This window comes from Homo sapiens, chromosome 1, assembly GCF_000001405.40.
Source record: "Homo sapiens chromosome 1, GRCh38.p14 Primary Assembly".
Classification (NCBI taxonomy): domain Eukaryota; kingdom Metazoa; phylum Chordata; class Mammalia; order Primates; family Hominidae; genus Homo; species Homo sapiens.
The window spans coordinates 109,615,495-109,638,135 of NC_000001.11; the positions used below are offsets into that span (position 1 = coordinate 109,615,495).

General features: G+C 54.4%; 2 protein-coding genes across 7 annotated transcripts in view, besides 16 other annotated features; one reads left to right on the forward strand and one right to left on the reverse strand.

The window, feature by feature from the left end:
• GNAT2 (G protein subunit alpha transducin 2) overlaps positions 1-4,122 on the reverse strand; it is a 16,526-nt gene extending 12,404 nt beyond the window's left edge. The window contains exon 1 of one of the 2 annotated variants that reach the window (NM_001379232.1): positions 4,081-4,122. The gene's annotated coding sequence lies outside the window, so the exon portion shown is untranslated. Of the gene's footprint in view, positions 1-3,988 lie in introns of both variants that reach the window. The other variant, NM_001377295.2, reaches the window with a different exon arrangement.
• Positions 3,510-4,040: an enhancer, noted in NCBI's record as "H3K27ac hESC enhancer chr1:110161626-110162156 (GRCh37/hg19 assembly coordinates)". NCBI's record gives its function as "activates a minimal SCP1, AML or CMV promoter by ChIP-STARR-seq in naive H9 embryonic stem cells {active_cell/tissue: H9 hESC(naive)}" and the evidence as "EXISTENCE:reporter gene assay evidence [ECO:0000049][PMID:30033119]".
• Positions 4,021-4,070: an enhancer, noted in NCBI's record as "active region_1446". NCBI's record gives its function as "activates an Ori minimal core promoter by ATAC-STARR-seq in GM12878 lymphoblastoid cells {active_cell/tissue: GM12878}" and the evidence as "EXISTENCE:reporter gene assay evidence [ECO:0000049][PMID:35858748]".
• Positions 4,021-4,569: a biological region, named in NCBI's record as "H3K27ac hESC enhancer GRCh37_chr1:110162157-110162685".
• Positions 4,041-4,569: an enhancer, noted in NCBI's record as "H3K27ac hESC enhancer chr1:110162157-110162685 (GRCh37/hg19 assembly coordinates)". NCBI's record gives its function as "activates a minimal SCP1, AML or CMV promoter by ChIP-STARR-seq in naive H9 embryonic stem cells {active_cell/tissue: H9 hESC(naive)}" and the evidence as "EXISTENCE:reporter gene assay evidence [ECO:0000049][PMID:30033119]".
• Positions 4,261-4,450: a silencer, noted in NCBI's record as "silent region_1156". NCBI's record gives its function as "represses an Ori minimal core promoter by ATAC-STARR-seq in GM12878 lymphoblastoid cells {active_cell/tissue: GM12878}" and the evidence as "EXISTENCE:reporter gene assay evidence [ECO:0000049][PMID:35858748]".
• On the forward strand, positions 4,343-16,561 carry AMPD2 (adenosine monophosphate deaminase 2). 5 transcript variants are annotated; one of them, NM_001368809.2, is made up of 19 exons: positions 4,343-4,784; positions 5,420-5,772; positions 9,809-9,939; positions 10,168-10,298; positions 10,666-10,734; positions 10,825-10,933; positions 11,232-11,418; positions 11,681-11,822; positions 11,935-12,024; positions 12,280-12,409; positions 12,589-12,783; positions 12,870-13,001; positions 13,149-13,312; positions 13,615-13,741; positions 13,833-13,996; positions 14,302-14,422; positions 14,739-14,912; positions 15,189-15,299; positions 15,449-16,557. In NM_001368809.2, the coding sequence occupies exons 2-19, from the start codon at positions 5,682-5,684 to the stop codon at positions 15,656-15,658; spliced, it is 2,478 nt and encodes an 825-aa protein (NP_001355738.1). In that variant the 5' UTR covers positions 4,343-4,784; positions 5,420-5,681; the 3' UTR covers positions 15,659-16,557. The 5 variants fall into 5 exon arrangements, with proteins under 5 accessions (NP_001355738.1, NP_631895.1, NP_001295099.1 ...); NM_139156.4 differs by lacking the exon at positions 5,420-5,772; NM_004037.9 differs by lacking the exon at positions 4,343-4,784 and having other exon boundaries at positions 5,648-5,772.
• Positions 5,091-5,140: an enhancer, noted in NCBI's record as "active region_1447". NCBI's record gives its function as "activates an Ori minimal core promoter by ATAC-STARR-seq in GM12878 lymphoblastoid cells {active_cell/tissue: GM12878}" and the evidence as "EXISTENCE:reporter gene assay evidence [ECO:0000049][PMID:35858748]".
• Positions 5,091-5,628: a biological region, named in NCBI's record as "H3K27ac-H3K4me1 hESC enhancer GRCh37_chr1:110163216-110163744".
• Positions 5,100-5,628: an enhancer, noted in NCBI's record as "H3K27ac-H3K4me1 hESC enhancer chr1:110163216-110163744 (GRCh37/hg19 assembly coordinates)". NCBI's record gives its function as "activates a minimal SCP1, AML or CMV promoter by ChIP-STARR-seq in naive H9 embryonic stem cells {active_cell/tissue: H9 hESC(naive)}" and the evidence as "EXISTENCE:reporter gene assay evidence [ECO:0000049][PMID:30033119]".
• Positions 5,701-5,820: an enhancer, noted in NCBI's record as "active region_1448". NCBI's record gives its function as "activates an Ori minimal core promoter by ATAC-STARR-seq in GM12878 lymphoblastoid cells {active_cell/tissue: GM12878}" and the evidence as "EXISTENCE:reporter gene assay evidence [ECO:0000049][PMID:35858748]".
• Positions 6,689-7,218: an enhancer, noted in NCBI's record as "H3K27ac-H3K4me1 hESC enhancer chr1:110164805-110165334 (GRCh37/hg19 assembly coordinates)". NCBI's record gives its function as "activates a minimal SCP1, AML or CMV promoter by ChIP-STARR-seq in naive H9 embryonic stem cells {active_cell/tissue: H9 hESC(naive)}" and the evidence as "EXISTENCE:reporter gene assay evidence [ECO:0000049][PMID:30033119]".
• Positions 8,589-9,402: an enhancer, noted in NCBI's record as "H3K27ac-H3K4me1 hESC enhancer chr1:110166705-110167518 (GRCh37/hg19 assembly coordinates)". NCBI's record gives its function as "activates a minimal SCP1, AML or CMV promoter by ChIP-STARR-seq in naive H9 embryonic stem cells {active_cell/tissue: H9 hESC(naive)}" and the evidence as "EXISTENCE:reporter gene assay evidence [ECO:0000049][PMID:30033119]".
• Positions 12,146-12,707: an enhancer, noted in NCBI's record as "H3K4me1 hESC enhancer chr1:110170262-110170823 (GRCh37/hg19 assembly coordinates)". NCBI's record gives its function as "activates a minimal SCP1, AML or CMV promoter by ChIP-STARR-seq in naive H9 embryonic stem cells {active_cell/tissue: H9 hESC(naive)}" and the evidence as "EXISTENCE:reporter gene assay evidence [ECO:0000049][PMID:30033119]".
• Positions 12,146-13,831: a biological region, named in NCBI's record as "BRD4-independent group 4 enhancer GRCh37_chr1:110170748-110171947".
• Positions 12,632-13,831: an enhancer, noted in NCBI's record as "BRD4-independent group 4 enhancer chr1:110170748-110171947 (GRCh37/hg19 assembly coordinates)". NCBI's record gives its function as "activates an origin of replication core promoter dependent on BRD2, P300/CBP, MED14 and CDK7 cofactors, and independent of BRD4, by STARR-seq in HCT116 cells {active_cell/tissue: HCT116}" and the evidence as "EXISTENCE:reporter gene assay evidence [ECO:0000049][PMID:35650434]".
• Positions 13,831-14,390: an enhancer, noted in NCBI's record as "H3K4me1 hESC enhancer chr1:110171947-110172506 (GRCh37/hg19 assembly coordinates)". NCBI's record gives its function as "activates a minimal SCP1, AML or CMV promoter by ChIP-STARR-seq in primed H9 embryonic stem cells {active_cell/tissue: H9 hESC(primed)}" and the evidence as "EXISTENCE:reporter gene assay evidence [ECO:0000049][PMID:30033119]".
• Positions 14,953-15,512: an enhancer, noted in NCBI's record as "H3K4me1 hESC enhancer chr1:110173069-110173628 (GRCh37/hg19 assembly coordinates)". NCBI's record gives its function as "activates a minimal SCP1, AML or CMV promoter by ChIP-STARR-seq in naive H9 embryonic stem cells {active_cell/tissue: H9 hESC(naive)}" and the evidence as "EXISTENCE:reporter gene assay evidence [ECO:0000049][PMID:30033119]".

A 22,641-nucleotide genomic window follows, 5' to 3' on the forward strand; every position in this document is an offset into this window, starting at 1 on the left:
CATGGTGGCAGGCACCTGTAATCCCAGCTACTTGGGAGGCTGAGGCAGGAGAATCACTTGAACCCGGGAGGCACTGCACTCCAGCCTGGGCAACAGAGCAAGATTCCGTCTCAGAAAAAAAAAAAAAAAAGAAAAGAAAAGAAAAGAAAAAGCCCAGCATGGTGGCATGCACCCAGCTACTTGGGAGATAGAGGCATGAGAATCGCTTGAACCCGGGAGGTGGAGGTTGCAGTGAGCCGAGATTGCGCCACTGCACTCCAACCTGGGTGACAGAGTGAGACTCTGTTTCAAAAACAAAAAAACAAAGTTATATGGCCTAGTAAACAGACAAACCGGTGATCCTTCTTTCTATTACTTCCACATAAGTAGCCAGAGAGAGAAAGCATGGACAAATGCATGAACTCTATAACAGCAGCCCTTGTTAAAGGAACCACTAAGTTGTTTCACACACAGGGAAAGTGGGCTTGTTCCTTTTTCTGCTACTACCTCTGCAAACTTCTGTGCTGCTTCTGCTTTGTTCCCTAACTTACTGGATGGAAGTTCCCCTTTCTCACTGCTAAGCTGAGAGAGGGAACTGCTAGCCCTCGCCTGGCCTGAGAGTACAGATCCATTACTGTGCATACATCATCCTGATGTCTGTGACCTCCTGCCTCTGCCTCTATCGTCAGTTCCTGTGCCTTTCCTGTGGCTGTCCCACTTTATGATCACATTTACGAACAGTTTCCTGATGAAGTAAATAAGGTATGTAGTGCTAGTTCCATTTTGGAGGTGAGTGAACTGAAGTACAGAAAAGTGATCCTCACATTAATAAGCAAGTTGGTATCAGAAGCCAAGCCAGAGCTCAGGTGTTTTGATTCACAGCCCTTTATAACCATTATCATTTTGAATGAAAAGTAAATCACTGTTTCTTAGTGATTTGGGCATGTTTCCTGAGTTAAGGGATCTGTCTGACATCCGTGGTAAGCCTTGTCTTAAGTGAATTGTGGGTAAAGACTTGTCCCAGATGGAGTGGGAGGACATGAAGGATGAGGAACTACCTTCAGGACCTTCCAGTCCATAGGCAGAGGTGGGGGAAATTCACAGAAAAACAAATGAGTTAAAGGGATACTGCAGTAGTGCTGGGAAATTCAGAGCTGTTTAAGACCTAGCATTCACCCCTGGTAGGAAAGGCAATCAAACACACATCTGACTGTCAGACTGACAAAGTTCTACAGCGGAAGAAAGAAAAGGGTGATTGTGAAATGAATAGACTTTCCACAGAGAAGCAGAATAACAGTGGAAGTGGGAGATACGCATTTTGGGGAAAGGAAAGAGCATGAAAAAAGAGGTAGAGGCACAAAGTACAAGGTGTGCTCAGAGAAGACTGGGACTTTGATGTGACTGGACTGGAGTGAAAGGTGCATGGAGTGGAGGGTTGGGAGGTGAAGATGAAGACAAGAAAGGGAAATTGGAGCCAGCCAGTGAAGCGCCTTCAATGGCAAGGGGTTTGACTAAAATCCACTGGGGTCTTATAAACAAGTATAGATGGAAACAGCTGTATGGTGCTATAAACACAATGCTGGGTGACTGAGGTGAGGGGGAGAGGGAGCTGGCTGCTGGGAGAAGCTGAGAAACCAGAGCTGAACAGCTTGTTTCTAGAAGGGCCTAGGCATAAGGTATGGTTTGGGAAATTGCCTTGGCCAAGGACCTTTTTGGAGCTGCAGATATTCTCTCCCAAGTTTAGTATCTGTGAAGATTGTTCTGGCCTAGCTAGGGAGGCGGACATCACAAGTGAGCTGAAGTCCAGAAGCAAAGAAAAGCACTTCTTCAGAGAAACAGGAGTGCACCATCTTTAGGGAGCTGGGATTCCGGGAGGGCCAGTTAAGGAGCCATGTGGGGAACAGGCTAGGAGGGGAGGAAGCTGTGTTTGGAGCTAGGGAATATCTCAGAGGCTCAAAGGCAATGAATGTTAAGGCCTCAGTGTGAAAAAAGCCCAGGCCATAGGATGACTCACTCCTTTATTTCCCAAGCTCTGTTCTGCGTAGACAATGAAACCTCACTGAGATTCTTGCTGGTATGGAGTGGGTGGAGGGATTGATGCCTAACTATAATCAGGGCCGACTTCCTAGCAGCAACAATACACCAGATGACCTGGAAATAGGGGAGGGTTGTAGAGTGAAGGGTGTGTTGCAGATGGGACTAGGGGACTAGCATAAAGGGACTAATGAACTGGTTTGCCTGGGCTGGGTGGAGGGCAAGGATTGCCACCTATTGGCTGCTGAGGTAGGTAGGTCTGCATTAAGCAGGATGCTCAAGAGACCTGGCCCAATGCAAGATACTATCTTTAAAACTATGTCAACATTTGCATCTTATCAGAAGATACATGACATTTATGTAGTTACATGGTGCTTGATTTTTGAGATTCATTTTATTCATTCTTGAGAGTCCATCAGCCTCAAAATCCCTAAGCGCCCCAAGACCAATTCAGTGGGCCATAAATGTAAACAGAATAGTTTAAGTCTGGGGTTAAGACCCCGGGAAGGCTGGGTTGGGGGGACTGTGGAGGCAATTACAGATTTTTACAGATTTTTGTTGATTTCTATCCCCTTGATTATAAAAGTTATGGGTATGTATTATAATTTCTAAAATGCAAATAAATATAAAGAAAATAAATATAACCCATAATTCCATCACTACAGATAATCATTGGTAAACTTGTTGGTGTGTTTCTTTTCTACCCATGTATATCACATAAGTAGGACCATACTGTGTATAGTGTTTTGCATCCATTCTTTTACCTAACTTTATATTGTAAACATTTCCACATCATTAAACATTTCTCCAAGAACAATTTTTAATGGCTGTATTTCATGGTATGAATATTACATAAACATTCCCCTATTGTTCGACCTTTAAAGTATCTAACTTTTCTATGCAATACACATTGTGGTGCTGAACAACTTTTTGCATACATATTTTTCTGGCAGCTCTTTTTAGAAAAACAACTTCCAGAAAGTTGATTACTGGGTCAAATAATAAGAACCTTTTTGAAAATTTTGATTCTATATTACCAGATGGCTTTCAGAAAGATTATATCAGTGTTCAAGGCCACCAGTAATGTGTTTGTGCACATGTACGTGTGTGTGTGTCTCCCATCTCACTAACTATACCCTTGCCAACCTGCATTAGCGTTTATTTTTTGGTTTTTTGTTTTTTAGTCTTTGCTATTTTGATTAGGTAAACCTGGTTATCTCTGTTCTCTTTTTAGTTTTATGGATTCTGTGTGAGGTGAAGAGGCCAAGTTTTTTTTAAGTTTGTTCAGGGAACAGTAGCCAGGGATCAATGGAAGTGGCACCAGATGCAGGTGGAGAAAAGGGTTCAGGGTCCAGAATCCAGCGTGGGGAGAGAAGAGGGAGGCAGAGTTTGGGAAGGATCTCTGCTGTGGGAGTGGTAAGAACTGGGAGGAGCCAGACAAACAGCATTAGAACAACTGGGTGTGGGGGGCAAAGGCCTCCCACAAGAGGGAAAATAGGGAAGAGATTAATTCCTGCTAATGCATTTAATTATATTCAGTGAAGTCTTAGGGACTTCCCTCCACAAGTTCCCTTTAGGTCGGATTATCTACCCCTTGGCAGTGGGGATGCTTGTTGGATAGACCCCAGAACGGCTGCAAGTGAATCAACCTGTGAGTGTCAATAGAGAACCAAGGCCAAGGCTAAAGCAATGGTAATACATGAATACTGAGTACTAACTACAGGCCAGGCACAGTTCTAAGCAGTTAACTTATATTAACTCATTTATCTTAACCACCATATAAAGCAGGTACTCTTACACTCATTTTACAGACGAAATAGAAGCACAGAGAAGTTAGGTAACTTGCCCAGTATCAGTCAGGAAGTAGGTGAAATCTGGATTTGAACCCAGACATTCTGGCTAGAGTTAAAGCTCTTAACCACCAAATACAGAAATGTGGGAAGGGGAGCCAGAATTGCAGGGCACAGCCTCCTACCTACGCCGGCCGGAAGAAAACAGACGACCAAGTGAGATTGCAGGGGCAGGACTTCTGCTTAAAATGAATCCTGGGACAATGATAACAGCTACCTTTCACTGGGCCCTCACTTCGTGCCAGGCACTGTGTAAAGGGACTTTACGTTTAATCTTCACAGTAACCCCTTTGAGTGAGGTACTGTCATTACCCCATCTTACTGATGAGGAAGCTGACGCACGGAACTGGCCCAAGACCCAGGGTCGGCTCAGGCCAGCCCTACCGCGGTGTGGTGGCTGCCCACGTGGCGCCCAGGAAGAGAAAAAAATGGCGAGGCGGGGTCGGCAGGCGGAGGCGGGGCCAGGCGGGGGCGGGGCCAAGGGCCGCAGAGCCTGGCGCGGAGCCGGCGAGATTTTGGTGGGGTCTCACCTGTTGCGTGACTCCCCCACAGTCCGGCCGCGGGAGTCCGACCCTGAATGCCCAGGGAGTGTTGAGAGAAATCTGGACGAGTTTCGGGTCCCGCTCCCTTGGGAGCACGTGGCCTACCAGCCTCTCGATTGCAGGGTTGGGTGGTCGCGACACCGGGGTCGCCTTGAGGCCAGTCCGGCTGCCGAGGTCTGCGGGAGTCCACCTCCGGCCAGCTGGCAATTTTGAAAGACTGCCTTACTTTCCCCATCTCAGTGCCAGGGCAGGGGCCCTTGGAGTGACTTGGCTGGGGTCTGTGGCCCGATCCCCCTGCCGTCCCTCAGGACCCGGGCTTTCTGCTGTACAGACTTCTCGTGGGCAGCCTCCCCTCGGAACTCGGGCATCATGGCCTCAGGTGAGTGTGTGTACGTGTGTTGGAGGGAGGGTCTCTGGGACAGAGAAGTGCTGTGGCCAGAGTGACAAGAGGGTGGGAGTCACAGCACAGCAGCAGGACCTAGGGAAGGCGGTCAGCTCCTCCCAGGAGGGCCTGGGGAGCAGAGCCAGAGTGTGCAGAGACAGAGGAAAAATCCAAAGAGGCTAGGGTCTCTGTCCCAGACCCCCAGACAAGGGGGTCTCCTGGCCTTCCTGCCTTCCTGGGAGGTAGCTATTTGGCGACGGTGGAATTTTCCCGGGACAGGCCCCTCCCTCCTGGGCTGGGATTCTCGGTTCTTCCCCCTCCTCCCAGAGCTGGGCTACCCCGGGAGCTGAGGGTCAGATGTGGAAGGAAAGTGGGTGCTGGGTTTTCACGGAGTATGCCTGCCCTGCCCCGGGAGGACTGTGTTTGAGCTTGGACTCGCTCGCTGCTGAATTCCTGTTTGTTATTCTTTTTTCTTCCAGGCTAGCTGGAAGGACCAGCTAGCCTGGACTTTGGCTTCTTTGCCCGGGAGCCCTGGCATGATGGGGTGAGGGCTCTTGGTGGGTTAGTGGAGAGCTGGGGGCTGGCCCTTCCCCATCTTCTTTTCTACCCACCCCCTCCCCGCCCCCCGCCAGGCCCAGCCACCATCAGTCACGTCACTCCTGGGACTGAGGAGGCAGGGGAGGGATAAGGGGCAGAGATGGAGGCCCCACTCCCCGAGGTTGCCTAGACAACATGAGAAATCGTGGCCAGGGCCTCTTCCGCCTGCGGAGCCGCTGCTTCCTGCATCAGTCACTCCCGCTGGGGGCGGGGCGGAGGAAGGGGTTGGATGTGGCAGAGCCAGGCCCCAGCCGGTGCCGCTCAGACTCCCCCGCTGTCGCCGCCGTGGTCCCAGCCATGGCATCCTATCCATCTGGCTCTGGCAAGCCCAAGGCCAAATATCCCTTTAAGAAGCGGGCCAGCCTGCAGGCCTCCACTGCAGCTCCAGGTGAGTGTGTGCTTCCTGGCCTCAGGATAGATGCTGGGCTCTGTCTTGCCACCTCTCGCCCAAGGTGCTGGTCCCCTCAGAGGGGGCCACCTCCTCCGGCATCCTCTCTGTGGTGGTGCCCCTCAACCTCAGTCCCAGGGACAGCCGGCTTGGAAGGTGGGGTGAGGGGTGGTGGGGGGCGGGGGGTGGATCTGAGATATCTGTGCCAGGGATGCTGTCCTCTGTCACAAGGAGTGGGCATGGTGTGGGTGCAGCAAGAGGTGTGTATGCACACGTGTCAGCGTGTGCATGTGCTAAGACTGCGTGTGAAGCATGTGTGAATGGAGCGGGGGTGTGTGGGACTGACTGTTTTGTGGACTGGCCACTCTGACTGGCGCCTGTGCCTTTACCAGGCAGGCTTAGGCTGTTCTGTGGCTAGTTCCACTTTTTAGGACCCCACATCTAGATCCCCCTCACTGGGGGTCTGACATCTGGGCACAACCATTGCTGGCTGGCATCCCACAACTGGGGGCTTGACTGTATCTATCGTTTGCTATTTGCTCATTCCTGGTCTATATTGTGAGCCTCCTTAGGAGTATGGGGTGTCCTTGGTCAGGTCCGTGCAGGGTTCAGGCTGGGGCTGCTGCCCGCACTGTGTGTGCTTCTGCACCCTTTGGTTCGTCTCTCACTCTAGTAAGCATCTCTGCATCATTTGGAGCAGGCAGTGAGGTGCGGCAGTGCCTGTCTCAGTGAGGGCTTGGCTGCCTGGCTCTGTGCTTGCAGAGGGATATCTGCCTGCTGTCTGCTCCCAGGCCTTGTGGCTAAGGAAAGACCCACCCTGACTTTGATGACCAGATCATGCCGACTGCCCCCACCCTTGCAGCTGTCTGTAGCTATAGCCCAAGTATCAACCTCCTATATTTTTTTGTTTCATTGAAGATGACTGGTGCAAGGTCTCTACTGTCCTGAGGGTGTTCTCTGTGCCCAGGTCTGTGCCATCCAGAAAGGGTGTCCCCTGGGTGGGGCCCTTCCTGGCCCTGTTTGGTTCAGCAATAGGGCAACTGATACGGATCTAGCCCAGAGCTGGAGACCCTTCGGTGGTCAGATGGTAAGAGCATCTGATACTTGTGGGGTCAAAGCCGTGGACACCCCTGTGCCTACTGAGGCAGTCGTGGCAGTGTGTGAGGGGCTCCTGGTCGAGAGGGGAGATGGGGTGCTCAGAATCTCAGAGTTGGTGGGAGTGGCTCTGGAGCAGCCCACTCTGGCTTTTGCTTGACTTCTCCGTAAGTGTGGGTGTATGTGTGTGGTGCTGACCCCTAGAGAAAGGACCAGTAGGCAGCTGAGTCTTCTAGGCCTGGCCTCTGAGAACGTAGCGGTTACTGCCCGTGTGCCACCTTCAGTGAGCCTGCGGCAGCCCTGGAGAGTGGTCTGGCAGGCTGGGGGGATGGCACTGGCTGTTGGAATCTGTCCTGCTCACCCCAGGATTGCTGTGGAGCCTGAGACCCCCCTGCTAGGAGAGGGGGTTGAGATTTGAGCCTTTGACTCAACTCCTGCTGACCCAATATGAACCAGCCATGGAGGTCTGTGGTCGGCCTCCCCTAGAAGGAGTCAGAAGTGGTCTGGGGCCATATGTAGGGAGGAGGTGTGTAAAATCAGGGTTCTCGGGCAAGAAAAGATCTTACACTCTGGGGGTGAGACAGCTTCCCCTCTTTTCTTCCTCTTCCCACTTTGTCCTTTTCCAAGTAAGAGATAGAGTCACCCCATCTCCACTCCTGCCAAGTTCACTTCACTGCCCTTTACTGGCCTATTGCCTTTGCCCTGCACTGGGCCCAGGGAACCTCCCACTGTCCTCAGTGGGCGGGGCTACAGGTAGAATGTATTTTGAGGGTCCCAGGAGTTCATAATTGCAGGCCTTGCCTCAACACAGAGCCTGGTGTTTTGCAGAACACTTGCAGAGCCATTATCTCTGTGAGCCTTATGGCAGTTGTGGCTAGGCAGGGAAGGGACCACTTATCGCCCCACTTGTAGATGAGGACCCAAAGCCTCCCAGAGGTAGGTAGAGACATGCCCGGAAGCAGGAACAGAATCAGATCCATGTTCTCCAAATTCTAGCCCCCTTTCTCCCAAACTTATTCTGGACAGTTTGTCCTGTCCCTGATGATAGGCTTGGATCAGGGGTTGCAGGTCTAGGGGCCTGCGAACCAGCCCCCTGAGCAGCTGGGCAGCGGGGAAGCCTCAGTGACTGGCCCCTACCTAGACTGGGCCATTTCCCCAGCTGCCAGCCAGCTCCTACCCCAGCAAAGGCCCTGTCTCTCCTGAGGGATGCCATAATCAGGGCCCAGAGGACAGTGGTGAGCAACAAGGCCACTGCCAGAAGAGGCCAACCTGGGGCTGTGGGTGTGATGAAGAGCGCTGTTCCCCTCCTTTTTCTCCCCTCTTACTCTTTGGCCAGCCAGGCCCTGCCCACTCACTGTCCCCTAGGGCAGTGGATTTTAAGGAGGCTTGGCTCCTCCCTGTCGGCCTGCCCTGCCCAAGTCAGCCTACCCTGCTACTCCCCCTTAGGAGCCTCACATCTGGCTGGGTCTTCCCTGGCACTGTAGAGGTGGAGGCCCTCTTCAGTTCTGGAGTTCGTCTTATCTCCCAACTCTGATGCTCCTTCCCTTGGTTTCTGGGCTCCCTTGAACTCCCCTAGCTCCGTGCTCACGGCCATCTCAGGGTCTCCCCTGCTTGCAGCTGCACTTGGTACAGCCTGTGCCAGCCCCTGAGGGACCGGCTGCAGCTTCACTGGCAAACAGGCGGGCAAGGGGCACAGGGCTGCTGGCCGGAGCTGCCTGCACTCTGCAGGTAGGGTTCAGGCAGGGGCCGGGGTGCGCAGGGGACGGGGTCCTGGATCTGGGGCAGGCCCCTCCCTCTTCCCTTTGTCCAGCTTTGGGACCAGTCCTGGAGTATTGGGAAATGGGCGCAGAGACTTTAAGGCCGGCTACCTAGGCAGATCCTGTAATCCTTCCCTAAGCCAGGGTGGAGGGTGCTGGAGGGGAGCACTCCTTACAGCCGGCTGAGAGAGGCAGTTTGGGTGTGGAAAGCTTCTCACTGAGGAGCTGGGGCTGCTGAGCCCAGGGAGGGTCCTTCGGGGTAGGCTGGAAGCCTTGGCAGCCCCCATAGACCAGCAGCTTCACGGCCCTCTGGTGCCAGCCTCCTCGTGGTACAGATGGAAAGTCTAGTCTTGATGAAGAAAGACCCCTGGCTTCTGACACTCCCTTCCCCAGGGCCCTCTGTGGTGCCCCCGGTCCAGATCCTGGGGCCTGAGTGGCATAGACTGTTTGTGGCAGCTCCTTTTGGAGGGGCAGGCTAAGGCCAGGCCACATTTTGGCAGCCCTGGGGCCCTGGGGGACAGGGCGGGCCTCCAGGGAGGAGGTAGGGTTCCCTTGCCAACCAGGCCCTCCACTTCCTCTCCTCTTCCCTTGAGGGCTCGTCCCTAGGTCAGAGCTGAGCAGCAGCTGCGGCTTCTCTTGTGCTGCACAGGTCTAGGATGTCAGGCACAGGGCCCTGCCCCTTTGAGTGGAGAATCTGCTAGTCCAGGGGCGGGTCTGATCCTGGGTTGCCTGCCCTGGGAGCTGCAGGCTGGGGGTCCCTGGTGTGGCCGCCTGGTCCTTACCAAGCACCTGGTGTGTGTCTCTGAGGGTGTCTGTGTGCGTACGTGCATGTGTGTGCACACGTACACACGTGCACCTGCCTCTGGGAGGTAGTCACGTGGAGATTCTCATGGCCTGAGGGATCAGGCTCTAGTCTCATTTGTGGAGGTAATGAATCTACTTGTTCTAGGGGCAGACTCAGAATCCCCACCCCAAGCCTGGAATGGGTGAGGGGTCCCTGCGTTAGAGGTGAGGGTGAGCCCTTTGGGAGCCACACACACAGGCCTACTCCTCAGCTACTGAGGAGGGACTGCCCTCTTTCCCGACCCTGGGCTCTCTCGGGAGCTGGCCTAGGCAGGGCAGGGGCCCAGGGCTTTCAGGGGCTGCCCCTCCACCCTTTGACCCTGGCATCACTGTCTCTGCAGAGGCTCGGGGTGGTCTGGGGGCCCCTCCGCTGCAGTCTGCCCGATCCCTGCCGGGCCCCGCCCCCTGCCTCAAGCACTTCCCGCTCGACCTGCGCACGTCTATGGATGGCAAATGCAAGGAGATCGCCGAGGTATCACCTGGCACCACCCGCACCCTCACCCCGTGTCTCCATGCCCTGCCTCTGCTCCCCACACCCCTCACCTCAAGCTGTCCCCTCACCTCACGCTTGGCTGTCTCCTGATCCTCAGCCTCTCCCAGGTACCCCTGGTCCTGCTGCCCTCACCCCATCCCCAGACTCTGTAGGAGAGTGCCCGAGGGCGGAGGGCCAGCCATGCTGACCTTCCTTCCCTCCCCCCAGGAGCTGTTCACCCGCTCACTGGCTGAGAGCGAGCTCCGTAGTGCCCCGTATGAGTTCCCCGAGGAGAGCCCCATTGAACAGCTGGAGGAGCGGCGGCAGCGGCTGGAGCGGCAGATCAGCCAGGATGTCAAGTGAGCCCGGCAGGCAGCTGCTTAGTCTCCCTCCATACCCTTCCAGACCCTTTCAGAGCCCCTTTTCTGCCTCTTTCCCTCGCACCCTGCCTTGGGGGGTCTGCACAGGGAGCATAGAGTGGGCTTTGGAGTCGGGCTGCTGGGTTCTGTTCTGTCTTCTAGCCGCCGGTGTGGCTGGGTCATGTTGCTTAACTTATGGGTCTGCTTTCTCATCTCTAAAGTGAGTGAGAACAGCACAGGGTTCTGCAGCTCTGCCTTTGAGGATCACATGTGACAACATGTGCACAGCACCTAGTGCGGTGCTGGGACCTGGGAGCAAGGGCCGTCCCTCGGGATCTGCCTGACTTCTCACCCCTCTTGCCTCTAGGCTGGAGCCAGACATCCTGCTTCGGGCCAAGCAAGATTTCCTGAAGACGGACAGTGACTCGGACCTACAGTGAGGAGGGCAGAGGGGCACAGGGGATGCGGAGCTGCAGCCTGCCCTTCTGCCGGCTCTAAACCCCTCCCTTGAATGCACCCCCTGCAGGCTCTACAAGGAACAGGGTGAGGGGCAGGGTGACCGGAGCCTGCGGGAGCGTGATGTGCTGGAACGGGAGTTTCAGCGGGTCACCATCTCTGGGGAGGAGAAGTGTGGGGTAAGTATGGGGTGTATGTTGGGTGAGTCGCCATCACCTATGTCTTAGTGGGTTCCCCCAGCCTGGAGAGCTGGGGGTGGGGGCTGGAAAGGGCGTTTCTCTTTCCAGCAGCTGGAGGGGCGGAGGGGCAGAGGGGCTGCCTAGGAGCCACTTGATGTGCTGGACCAGGGTGATCTGAGTGTTCCTGGGGGTCAGGGCCTGTGGGAGGTGGGGATAGTTTGGGTTCTAAGATAAGGCCTTAGGGAGGAGGTCTCTGAGTCCAAGACTGAGGAGAGTGATCGCATATCCTCATCTCCAGGTGCCGTTCACAGACCTGCTGGATGCAGCCAAGAGTGTGGTGCGGGCGCTCTTCATCCGGGAGAAGTACATGGCCCTGTCCCTGCAGAGCTTCTGCCCCACCACCCGCCGCTACCTGCAGCAGCTGGCTGAAAAGCCTCTGGAGACCCGGACCTATGAACAGGGCCCCGACACCCCTGTGTCTGCTGGTGGGACTCCCCATCTCTGCCCCATGCCATGTGCCCTAGCCTCCTGGGCTTCTCAGCCTGGTGCCTGGGCACCTCTGCCCTGCCTGCCTCTCCCTACAACCCAGGCTCATTCCAACCTCTTGGGGTACAGGGGTGGAGGTTGGGCAGGAGCTGTCTGACCTACTGGGTCTTCAACATCTCTTGCCCTCTGTGGGGCCTTTGGGTTGGGCAGTGGGTGGCTTGGAAGAGCCCTGCTCTGACTTTACCCTCCTCACCCCTGCAGATGCCCCGGTGCACCCCCCTGCGCTGGAGCAGCACCCGTATGAGCACTGTGAGCCAAGCACCATGCCTGGGGACCTGGGCTTGGGTCTGCGCATGGTGCGGGGTGTGGTGCACGTCTACACCCGCAGGGAACCCGACGAGCAGTAAGAGGGGTGTGGTGCATGTTGGGGGGATGCAGCGTGGGAGGTTGCGTTGGCTTGGGAGAGGCCACAGGGCTCGGCTTGCTCTCCTCACCCAAGCTCCCCTCCATGCCAGTTGCTCAGAGGTGGAGCTGCCATACCCTGACCTGCAGGAATTTGTGGCTGACGTCAATGTGCTGATGGCCCTGATTATCAATGGCCCCATGTGAGTCCCCTGCCATCCCAGACACTTAGCTCCCCTCCCAGCCCAGATTCTCCAGCCCCAGTTCTGCCCCAGACTCCCATCACCTGGTGTCTTGCCCTTCCTAGTTGCTGAGCCCTCGACTTCCCCGCAGTCTACTTCCCTCTTGGCAGCCTCCATCCTTACCCTCCCACCTGCTCCCTCTGATCTGCTACCCAAGCCCTCCCCAGGTGCCTCCCTTCAGGGCCTAAGTCCCTGCCTTGTTCTCCTCATGCCCAGAAAGTCATTCTGCTACCGCCGGCTGCAGTACCTGAGCTCCAAGTTCCAGATGCATGTGCTACTCAATGAGATGAAGGAGCTGGCCGCCCAGAAGAAAGTGCCACACCGAGATTTCTACAACATCCGCAAGGTGGGCCCTCACCCCGTGGCCGTCTCCATGTCCTCATCCCACACCTCTGCCCAGCCTCCCCTTCAAGGGCCAGGCCCCCCACACAGCATCCAGTACAGAGGGTCCTTTCCCATTGCACTGCCCCAGGCCCCAGACCTTCCTGGCCTCTGGTGGATCAGCAGTGCCCTGTTCCATTCCAGGTGGACACCCACATCCATGCCTCGTCCTGCATGAACCAGAAGCATCTGCTGCGCTTCATCAAGCGGGCAATGAAGCGGCACCTGGAGGAGATCGTGCACGTGGAGCAGGGCCGTGAACAGACGCTGCGGGAGGTCTTTGAGAGCATGAATCTCACGGCCTACGACCTGAGTGTGGACACGCTGGATGTGCATGCGGTCTGTGCCAGTGGCGTGGGCTGTGGGACTGAGTCAGTCAGGGGACCAGGAGTCACGGGTGACCTGAGCCTTCCCATGTCCCCCAGGACAGGAACACTTTCCATCGCTTTGACAAGTTTAATGCCAAATACAACCCTATTGGGGAGTCCGTCCTCCGAGAGATCTTCATCAAGACGGACAACAGGGTATCTGGGAAGTACTTTGCTCACATCATCAAGGTAAGGAGGCAGCCTTCCCTGCCAAGCCTCGAGCCTGAGGATCTGGGGGCTTTTAGGGGGTGAGACTCAAGGAGGGTAGGCAGATGACCCCCTGAAGAGCTCTGACTCAGCTCACCTCATGTCTGACTCAGCTCACCTCATGTCTAGGAGGTGATGTCAGACCTGGAGGAGAGCAAATACCAGAATGCAGAGCTGCGGCTCTCCATTTACGGGCGCTCGAGGGATGAGTGGGACAAGCTGGCGCGCTGGGCCGTCATGCACCGCGTGCACTCCCCCAACGTGCGCTGGCTGGTGCAGGTGCCCCGCCTCTTGTGAGTGTCCCTGGAGTGGGAGGGGAACCTGCGGGGTCATATTCAAGGGGTCAGGGCCTGCCTCCTGCCCTCCTAGGATGGCTGAGCCTCCCTTGTCCCTGCCAACCCCTCTGAGTGCAAGGAAGGGCTTCCTGGTCCCATCCATGGTCTGTCCAGCCTGGCCCACCTGGGTATCCTTGCTTTCCCAATATGGTTCAGATGCGCCCCTGCGCTCTTGGGCCAAGCTCTGACCCTTGCTGGACCGCTGGGTTTCCTCCCACTGGCCCTGACTTGCACATACCTGCATGTTGTCTCACCTGCAGTGATGTGTACCGTACCAAGGGCCAGCTGGCCAACTTCCAGGAGATGCTGGAGAACATCTTCCTGCCACTGTTCGAGGCCACTGTGCACCCTGCCAGCCACCCGGAACTGCATCTCTTCTTAGAGCACGTGAGCAGGCAGCGCAGAGCTGGGTATGGGGAGGGCAGCCGGCTTCGCATCCAGCTGCAGCTCTGGTTCTGACCCCAGGGTTCTGTATTAGGTGGATGGTTTTGACAGCGTGGATGATGAGTCCAAGCCTGAAAACCATGTCTTCAACCTGGAGAGCCCCCTGCCTGAGGCGTGGGTGGAGGAGGACAACCCACCCTATGCCTACTACCTGTACTACACCTTTGCCAACATGGCCATGTTGAACCACCTGCGCAGGTGCCTGCACCACCCTGTGTCTGCTTGCTATGCCATCTCTCGCCCAACAAACCTCACTCTTGGCACCTTGGGCCAGGGCCACTAGACCTCTGACCCACCTGTTGCCTGGACTGGATGGGTTCTTTCTCTGCCCTTGGAGCTACATCTGTCACCCCTCACAGCCAGTAATCTACCCCTGTCCCCCTTATCCCAGGCCTGCATAGTTATTGGCTGGAGGACATATGCGTGCTGGGTGGGGGTCAGGGGCTCCGGTGAGCCCAGGTGATCCCAGGCTCAGGAGCTGACACTGTCTTCATGTCCCCCAGGCAGAGGGGCTTCCACACGTTTGTGCTGAGGCCACACTGTGGGGAGGCTGGGCCCATCCACCACCTGGTGTCAGCCTTCATGCTGGCTGAGAACATTTCCCACGGGCTCCTTCTGCGCAAGGTCAGGATCTGCACCCCTAGCCTTCCCTCCCAATTGTTCACCTTCCTCTGAACCATTCGGGCCCCTTCAGCAACCGATCCTCCTCCCACCCAGCCCTCAGATTGGATTCTGCCTTCCCAATGTAACTACCCTTCCCCACCCCAGCCTTCAGCCTGGGGCCCCAACTTGGATTTTGACTAATTCACCCTTTGCACATCAGGCCAAGCCTGGATTCCCCTCCCCCTGCCCTCTGCTGTGGCCTGGACCCCCAGAACCACTGTGCCCTGCCCAGCCTCGGGGCCACCTGACAGGCCCTCCCTCCCTGTTGCCTGCCCAGGCCCCCGTCCTGCAGTACCTGTACTACCTGGCCCAGATCGGCATCGCCATGTCTCCGCTCAGCAACAACAGCCTCTTCCTCAGCTATCACCGGAATCCGCTACCGGAGTACCTGTCCCGCGGCCTCATGGTCTCCCTGTCCACTGATGATCCCTTGCAGTTCCACTTCACCAAGGTCAGAGCCCAGCAGGCAGCCAGGCGGGCGGGCGTCCCAGGACGCTGGGGTCTCCCGGGTTGGGTGGGGGGCGGTGGGGGGGGCGGTCTCTCGGGTTGGTGCTGCCCCCTGCTGGTAGAGCATAGCTGGCCAATTGACAAGTCTTATGGAGTTGAGGGGTTGGGGGGTTGGGGGGATGGGGGGGCGGGGGTGGGGAGAGTGAGTGAGGAGGCTGGGGAAGGGAGGCAGGGGCAGCTGGCCAGGGCGCACTCGTCTGAGGGAACCTGGCCCGTGCAGGAGCCGCTGATGGAGGAGTACAGCATCGCCACCCAGGTGTGGAAGCTCAGCTCCTGCGATATGTGTGAGCTGGCCCGCAACAGCGTGCTCATGAGCGGCTTCTCGCACAAGGTACTACAGCGCCTGCCTGGACCTTGGCATGGCATCACTCCTCCCCTCCTCTGCATTTGGGGTCCTGACCTGTCCCTGGGATGGCTTGGGGTGGGGCATGACCCCTCAGCACTGGCTGCAGCCCTGCCCATTACCCCCGCTCCTTGCAGGTAAAGAGCCACTGGCTGGGACCCAACTATACCAAGGAAGGCCCTGAGGGGAATGACATCCGCCGGACCAATGTGCCAGACATCCGCGTGGGCTACCGCTACGAGACCCTGTGCCAGGAGCTGGCGCTCATCACGCAGGCAGTCCAGAGTGAGATGCTGGAGACCATTCCAGAGGAGGCGGGTATCACCATGAGCCCAGGGCCTCAATGAGCCTGGTCCATGAAGTGCCCACCACATCGCAGCACTTTTACCACGTTTTGTCCTCAGACCCCGCCCATGCTGTGTGGTCTCTGCATGTCTCCATTCTTCTCTGTCTCTGTCTTGCATGTCTCCTACCATGTCACTGTCCCTGGGCCACCCAGTGAAAGCAAAGCCTGGGAATCTGCTCATTGTTGTTTGGGCTCAGGTATTGAGCCTGATGGCCCAGGTATTGAGGGCCTCCCCTGCTGGTGGCCCTGTCCTGGGATCCTCAGAAGCCTGACTGTCCTATGGGCTTCTCCAGTGTCCACAGGGGCTTGGGATGGTTGTGGGGGGCTGGCCCCTCTAGCCTTTCCGGTCCTTCCTGGGCAAATCTAAGCCTTGGCCAGGGCCGAAGTTTAGGCCCCTGTCTTGTTCATGTAGCCGAGGGGCAGGCGGGGGACCTCTACACCTCTGCTGTGGGCACGGGGCTGCTGAGGGTCTGTGGAACTCCAGCAGCTCTGCACTGGGTAGAGCTGGGCCTAGAGCTCAGTCACAGGCCTGGGCTTCCTGGCCTGAGTGGGTAGACGCAGGCGGCAGAGGTGCTGGACCACATCTCCGCCAAGTCACTGCCCAGCAGCCTTCTCCGTCCTGTCCCCAGCCCACGTGCTCCTTGGGTGTCAGCTTCCTGTGCCTCTGTGGGAGAGGGCAGCTGCCTTGTGTTATGTCTGGGGCCACAGTTGCTGCAAAGTCCTGGATCTGCCACTCAACCCCGGGAGTGGTGTTCCCAGTGTGGCTCCCAGAGCTTTGACCAGATTGTGATCCCAGCTGGCCCCTATGTTGTGTTCTGGACTGAGGCCTTTGCTGTGAACTGCAGTGTTTCATACGAACCATCTTTCCTAGTGCATGAGAAATAAAGATTATTTAAGTAATGAGGCAGGTGGGGTTTCTGTTGGGAGAGGGAACGCCGTGGTGGGAGGTGGCTGTGGATGGAGGCACCGTGCATTCTGAGGGGAGGGACTAGGCTTGGGTGATGTGTATGTTGTGCATGTGGAAACTGACAAAAGAAGCTGTGGGAGAGAGGAGATGCCCATCCAACCCTCATCCAGCCTGTTCCCTGTGAGGGGAACACCTAGCCCCGGGTCTGTGACACATCCCTGTCACACCAGCTTGGGGGCTGGTGTCTGTTTCCCACCTTGTACTTCCTCCCCTCTTCCAGCCTCTGAGGGGATGGCCTGGTAGATGGGAAATATGCACCTACAGACAAACCTGAGACCAGGGTCTTCTGGGGGGGTCTTGTTTAGATGGCCCTCTCCAGGCCATACTCTCAGAGATTCTGATTCAATAGGCAGAAGGTGTGGCACAGACATCTGCAAACTCTCGGGCAGATTCTATTGCAAGAGGTTGGAACAAGCCTGTGCATTCCGATTCCAGCCCCCCGCCCCCGCCCCAATCCCATCTCAGCCTCTGTCCCATGTTTAATACACAATTTCTGGAGCACCTCCCTGGCACAGAGGTTGCTGAAGTCTGTTCCCCAGGTAAAGAAGGAAAGTGGAATGTGCCCTGGGCTGTGCAGGGTCCTGGGTGGGCAGAGAGAAGCCTGTCGCTGCCCCTGCTGCTGGCTGGGGAGGCCTGTCCTCCCCTGGCTGGCTGCCTCAGAAGCAATTAGCCCTGGAACAGCATGAGCCTGTTTAATTGAGGGCCTGCCCAGAGCCAGAGCAGCTGGAGCAGGAGGGGGAGGCTGGGAGGCTGCTGGCTTCCTCCTCCTTTCTTGTCAGCTGCTCTCCCCCACCCCAGCCTCTTTCAGCAAGCAGGTCTGCACCTGGCCCTGGGTCTCCCAGTGGGTGCCCCGGGAAGAAGCTCTCCTCATCCCTCTCCACTTCCCATTGGCCAAGCCCTCTCCTGGTCAAGACCCAAGGCCCTTCAGTTCAGAAGACACCCCTTGCCAATTCATCCTGGCCACTTACATGTCACAGAATTGAACGTTGGAGCCCGATGAGGGTGGGAGGTGGTGAGTCCAGGGCTCCTTCACCCATGCTGGGCCTCGGCTGCCCAAGGATCCCCCTTAGAAGGGTGAGGGGAACTCACTTTTCAAGTAGGTGAATAATTTAATAACACAAGTGAGCTGTGTCTTGTCTTTGTTTTAACAAGGAAGCAGGATTAAAAGATTTTTCTAGAAGGTCTTTTGGAGGCAAGAACTGCCTGTCCTGTCTGCCAGCACTTAGGACTCCATATTTACTTGTTGAATTTGTCATTTAATAGAATCCTTCAGTTCACTTTCTTGTCTCCTGTTTTTCTTAGTGTGTGTTGAGGCTTAGCTCTAAGAATATTACTAATTTAAAGTTCCTTAGCAGCCTCTTCACGGTTTATTTTTGAAACGAGGTCTTGCTCTATTGTCCAGGCTGCAGTGACCTCCTGGGCTCAAGTGATCCTCCCACCCCAGCCTCATGAGTAGCTGGGACTACAGGCACGTGCCACCTGTAGACGGGGTTTCACCATGCTGTGCAGGCTGATCCTGAACTCCTGGGTTCAAAGTGCTGGGATTACAGGCGTGAGCCACCGCACCCAACCCACAATTTATTTTTTAAACAACTTGCCTCTGGTTTCTTAGTTTCTCAGAAATTTCTCTTTCAAATATTTATCAAGAGAAAATAATCTTAAAAGGCCTTAATACTTCTTCCTATTTGAAAAGAAAATCATTTTCATTAAAAAAAATTTGGAAAATATAGAAAAATAGGAAGAAATAAAAGCCCACTCATAATCTACCAGTTTCACCAAATATTTGCTGCATGCCTGAGATATATGTAGATATTTTAATGCATATCTGTGCATATTTCTGTATTCTTTTCAGTTCTTTTTAAAATGCTATTTTTAAGTTGAGATCACAAGAATGATTTAGGCTTTTTAAAATTTTTTATTATTATTATTATTTTTGAGATGGAGTCTCACTCTGTCGCCCAGGCTGGAGTGCAGTGGTGCAATCTTGGCTCACTGTAACTTTTGCCTCCTGGGTTCAAGTGATTCTTCTGCCTCAGCTTCCCAAGTAGCTGGAATTACAGTTGCGTGACACCACACCTGGCTAATTTTTTGTATTTTTAGTAGAGATGGGGTTTCACCATGTTGGTCAGGCTGGTCTCGAACTCCTGACCTCAGGTGATCCACGTCAGCCTCCCAAAGTGCTGGGATTACAGGTGTGAGCCACCGTGCCTGACCCCGGCCTATTTTAAAAAGTATTTTAACATACGTCTTTCCACATGTCATCAAAATACTCTGCAAATATGAATGTGAACTACTGTGCACCACCCCCGGTGAGCCTCCCATGGTTTATGATTACAGCTCTCCTCTGTTAAGAATGACTGTGTCCTAATGTGACCAACAGTGTGCACTCTGGGTTTGACTTCTGTTTCCACCACTTTCAGGCTGTGTGACCTTAGGCAAGTTACTTCCCCTCGCTGTGCCTCCAGGTCCTCACCCATTTCATGGGGATAATAATAGCACTTTTCTCACGGGTTGATTTTGAATTCATTCAGCCACTGGATATAAAGCACCAAGCAAGAACTCAGTAAATCTTAGCTATTATTATCTTTGCCTAAATCTCTCCAGATTATTCCCTTAGTCTAGATGCCCTGAGTGAAATCACCAGGTCCAAGGTAGAATTTTTTTTACTGTTCTTGATAGAAATGAATCAAAGTATGTGAGCAGAAATAAAAAGTCATTTCCTTGCCCTCGACCTTGCCTGCACCTTCCATGCCAGCCCGCCACCTCCTCTCCTCTTTTGGAGCCCCACCCCCTGCCCTTCCTCTCGACCTGCTGTGTGTGCCTGCGTGTGTGAAGGTGCCCGCATCTTCTTCCTGGTCAGGGGCCAGATCTCACATGGAATGGGGGGGTGAGGGGGAAGGAGGGTGGGTGGCAGAGGGAGTAAATAAAATAGGCAACCCAACCTGTCTCCTTCCAAGGTTTGGGACCTGTCCTGAGTGAAGTCGACCCTGGGGGACTGTCCCTCATCTGTCCCTAAAGCTCTCAGACTGGGAAGTATGAGGGCTGTGTGCCAGGCCACATCTCACATGCCCTGCACGGGGTCCCCTCTCCGTGTCCACTCCTGGGGGAGTGGAGGGGAGCAAGTGGGGAGCTATCTGGGCCCCCAGGCTGCGGTAGAGGATGGGTAAGGGTGTTTGGTTAGGGTGACAATAATCCTGATTTCTAAACCCTACATCAGAACATTTACCCTATCAAAGTATTGCCTCACTTATGAATGTATTCATATGAAATTCCAATAAAGGCTTAAGCCTTAACTCAGGTTTAATCCAATGTTTGAGAAATCACTATATTTTCAAAATGAGAGTGAAACTGCCCAAATTAGGATGCCCTGGGCAACCTGGGGTGGGTGGTTTCCGCAGCTGGGCCTGAAGCAGGCAGCCTGCAAGTCTAGAAATGGGGGCGATCTAAGTGCCTTGCTTTTGTGCGCATACCTGTCTTCTCCCGGCAGACCCTCAATGTCACCCCCACCCCCTGGCAACATGGGAGAGCTGAAAGAAAACCTCTGAGGGCTGCAAAATATGGAAAAAAAAAAAAGTTGAAATTGACAAATGTTTAATGAAATGCCTTCAGAAAGTAGCATGTCAACTTCAATATTTGTTAAGTCACATGCCATTATATTTGAAAACAATTTGTAAGTTGGATTTTTGACAAGAGTTCCAGAATATGCAATATGATTAAAGAGAAAGCATAGCCAATAGTAAATTAAATGAGTTACTCATAGTCAAGTAATTTCAAAAGCAAATTTATAAAAACCCCTTTAAAGCAAAGCAGTTATATTTAATGAGGGGGTGTGGGTGCATTTTAAATGCAAGTGAGTGTGGGGCCTCCAAGAATCAGATGCAGGGTCTATAAAGGACTTACTTAAAATGGCTCAGCCCCGCAGTCCCACTCTGGGCCAGGGGGGTTGGCTCAGATTTTGGTCTTGCCGTCACCTTCAACTCTCCTGCCTCCCTAAATAGTCTGGGCAGATTTGGAGCAGCTACTGCTGCCACTGGCATCTTCTCTGAATCTGTGCAACAGATATGCACAGCTGGAATTTCTGTCTCCCCTTTGCAGATGAGAGACTGACCTGGGTTTAAACCTGAGTGTTCTGTTTATTAGCTGGGCAAGTCAGCCCTCCTCCCTGACTTCCCAGGCCTGGAGGAGATATGCAAAGGGGAGTGGCTACCAATCCATTCCCACCAGGGTCCCAAGCTACTGCTGGGGTATGCTGGTGTGTCTACTACGCATTTGCCATGGTGGGGTAAAATACCTATGAGCACCTGGCATTGGGCTGAACTCTTTGTAAGTGTGAATGTACTTCCAGCTCCTAGAACTCTGCATGATATCTATCACCATATTCCCTCGCGTCAACAGGGAGAATGAGGTTCGGGAGGTTATGTAACTTATCCAGGATGACTCAGCTAATGAGTGCCAGAGCTGGGATTTGACCCCAGAACTGTCAGGCTGCAAAGTCTTTGTTCCTCCTACTCTATCATGGTCCCTGGGGTACGTGTCTGGTTGAGGGGGTCCCTCTAGGGGTGGGGTGCTCAGGGAAGGGACAGGGTCAGGCTCTGATGAGCAGAAGGATCAGTGCGGGTGAGTCTAGAGGCAGAAGGGTCATGGAGGAGGCTCCTGCCACATCCCGGGTGTGATTGACAAGGACCTGGCTGGTGGCAGTGTGGGTGGAGAGGAGCTTTTGTGGGGAGGCTGCTAAGACCAGTAGTTAAGACAGAGGTGGCAGAGGTGGCCACAGGATTGTGATTGGCTGGCACAGCCTGATATGAGATCGAGAATGTGAATGCTCTGAGGCGGCTATTAGCCTGACCCCTCCCGGTTACCTTATACCCATCCCAGTCCATACACTGCCAGAGAGGTACTGGGTTTGTGATCCCCGGGCTCTATCCCACGGCACAGCTGTCACTTATTAGCCATAAGATCCTGAAAATTTCTAGGAACTCTGAGCTTTAGTTCTCTGATCTATCAAATGAGGATATCGGGGTCCACGTGTATTGGTTTGCTATGGAGATTAAATGCTGTTTATAAGGCAGAGTTCAACGACAGGGGACTTGAACAACTATGGAGCTAGGTCAGAAACTCCACTGCGGGGACAGAGAAGGGTGGGCTAATTCCTTTTTGGAGAAAATAGCAATAATACCATGCTTGCTTTGTGCTTTATAATTTTCCACATTTGGTTTTTGCAACAGCCTTTTGAGTTGGTCAAGAGTGTGATTATTCCTCCCAGCAGCCTCAAATCCTTTTGGAACCAGGTGTGAGCTAAACAAAAGTTATAAAATGTTACAAGTCCATAATGGATAATGGTACTGAAAGTCAGAGAGTCCCATACTTTGCCTGGTCACAGGGATAGGAGGTGGAGAGTGGAGTGAGGACCTGGTGCTGGACTCCCAGCCCAGTGCTCTTATTTTGAGCTCCCTTTGGGACCTGCTGGAGATTTGAGTCAGAGCCTGGCCAGGGGGCTAATTGGGGGTGGGAGGATGGCTCCAGGTGACCGTGAAGCTGAGGTGGGGATGGCGAGGGTGGAACAGGGTGTGAGGCCTGGGCCTTGATGGGGTCACTAAGACTGGTTTTTTATTTATTTATTTATTTTTGAGATAGAGTTTTACTCTTGTTGCCCAGGCTGGAGGGCAATGGCGCGATCTCTGCTCACCGCAACCTCTGCCTCCCGGGTTCAAGCGATTCTCCTGCCTCAGCCTCCCAAGTAGCTGGGATTACAGGCATGCGCCACCACGCTCAGTTAATTTTGTATTTTTAGTAGACATGGGTTTCTCCCTGTTGGTCAGGCTGGTCTCGAACTCCCAACCTCAGGTGATCTGCCTGCCTCAGCCTCCCAAAGTGCTGAGATTACAGGCGTGAGCCACCGTGCCTGGCCAAGACTTTCAAAGGCAAGTGCCCATGTGTTTGTTTATTTATTTATTTATTTATTTATGTTTTTATTTTTTGAGACGGAGTCTCGCTCTTGTCGCCCAGGCTGGAGTGCG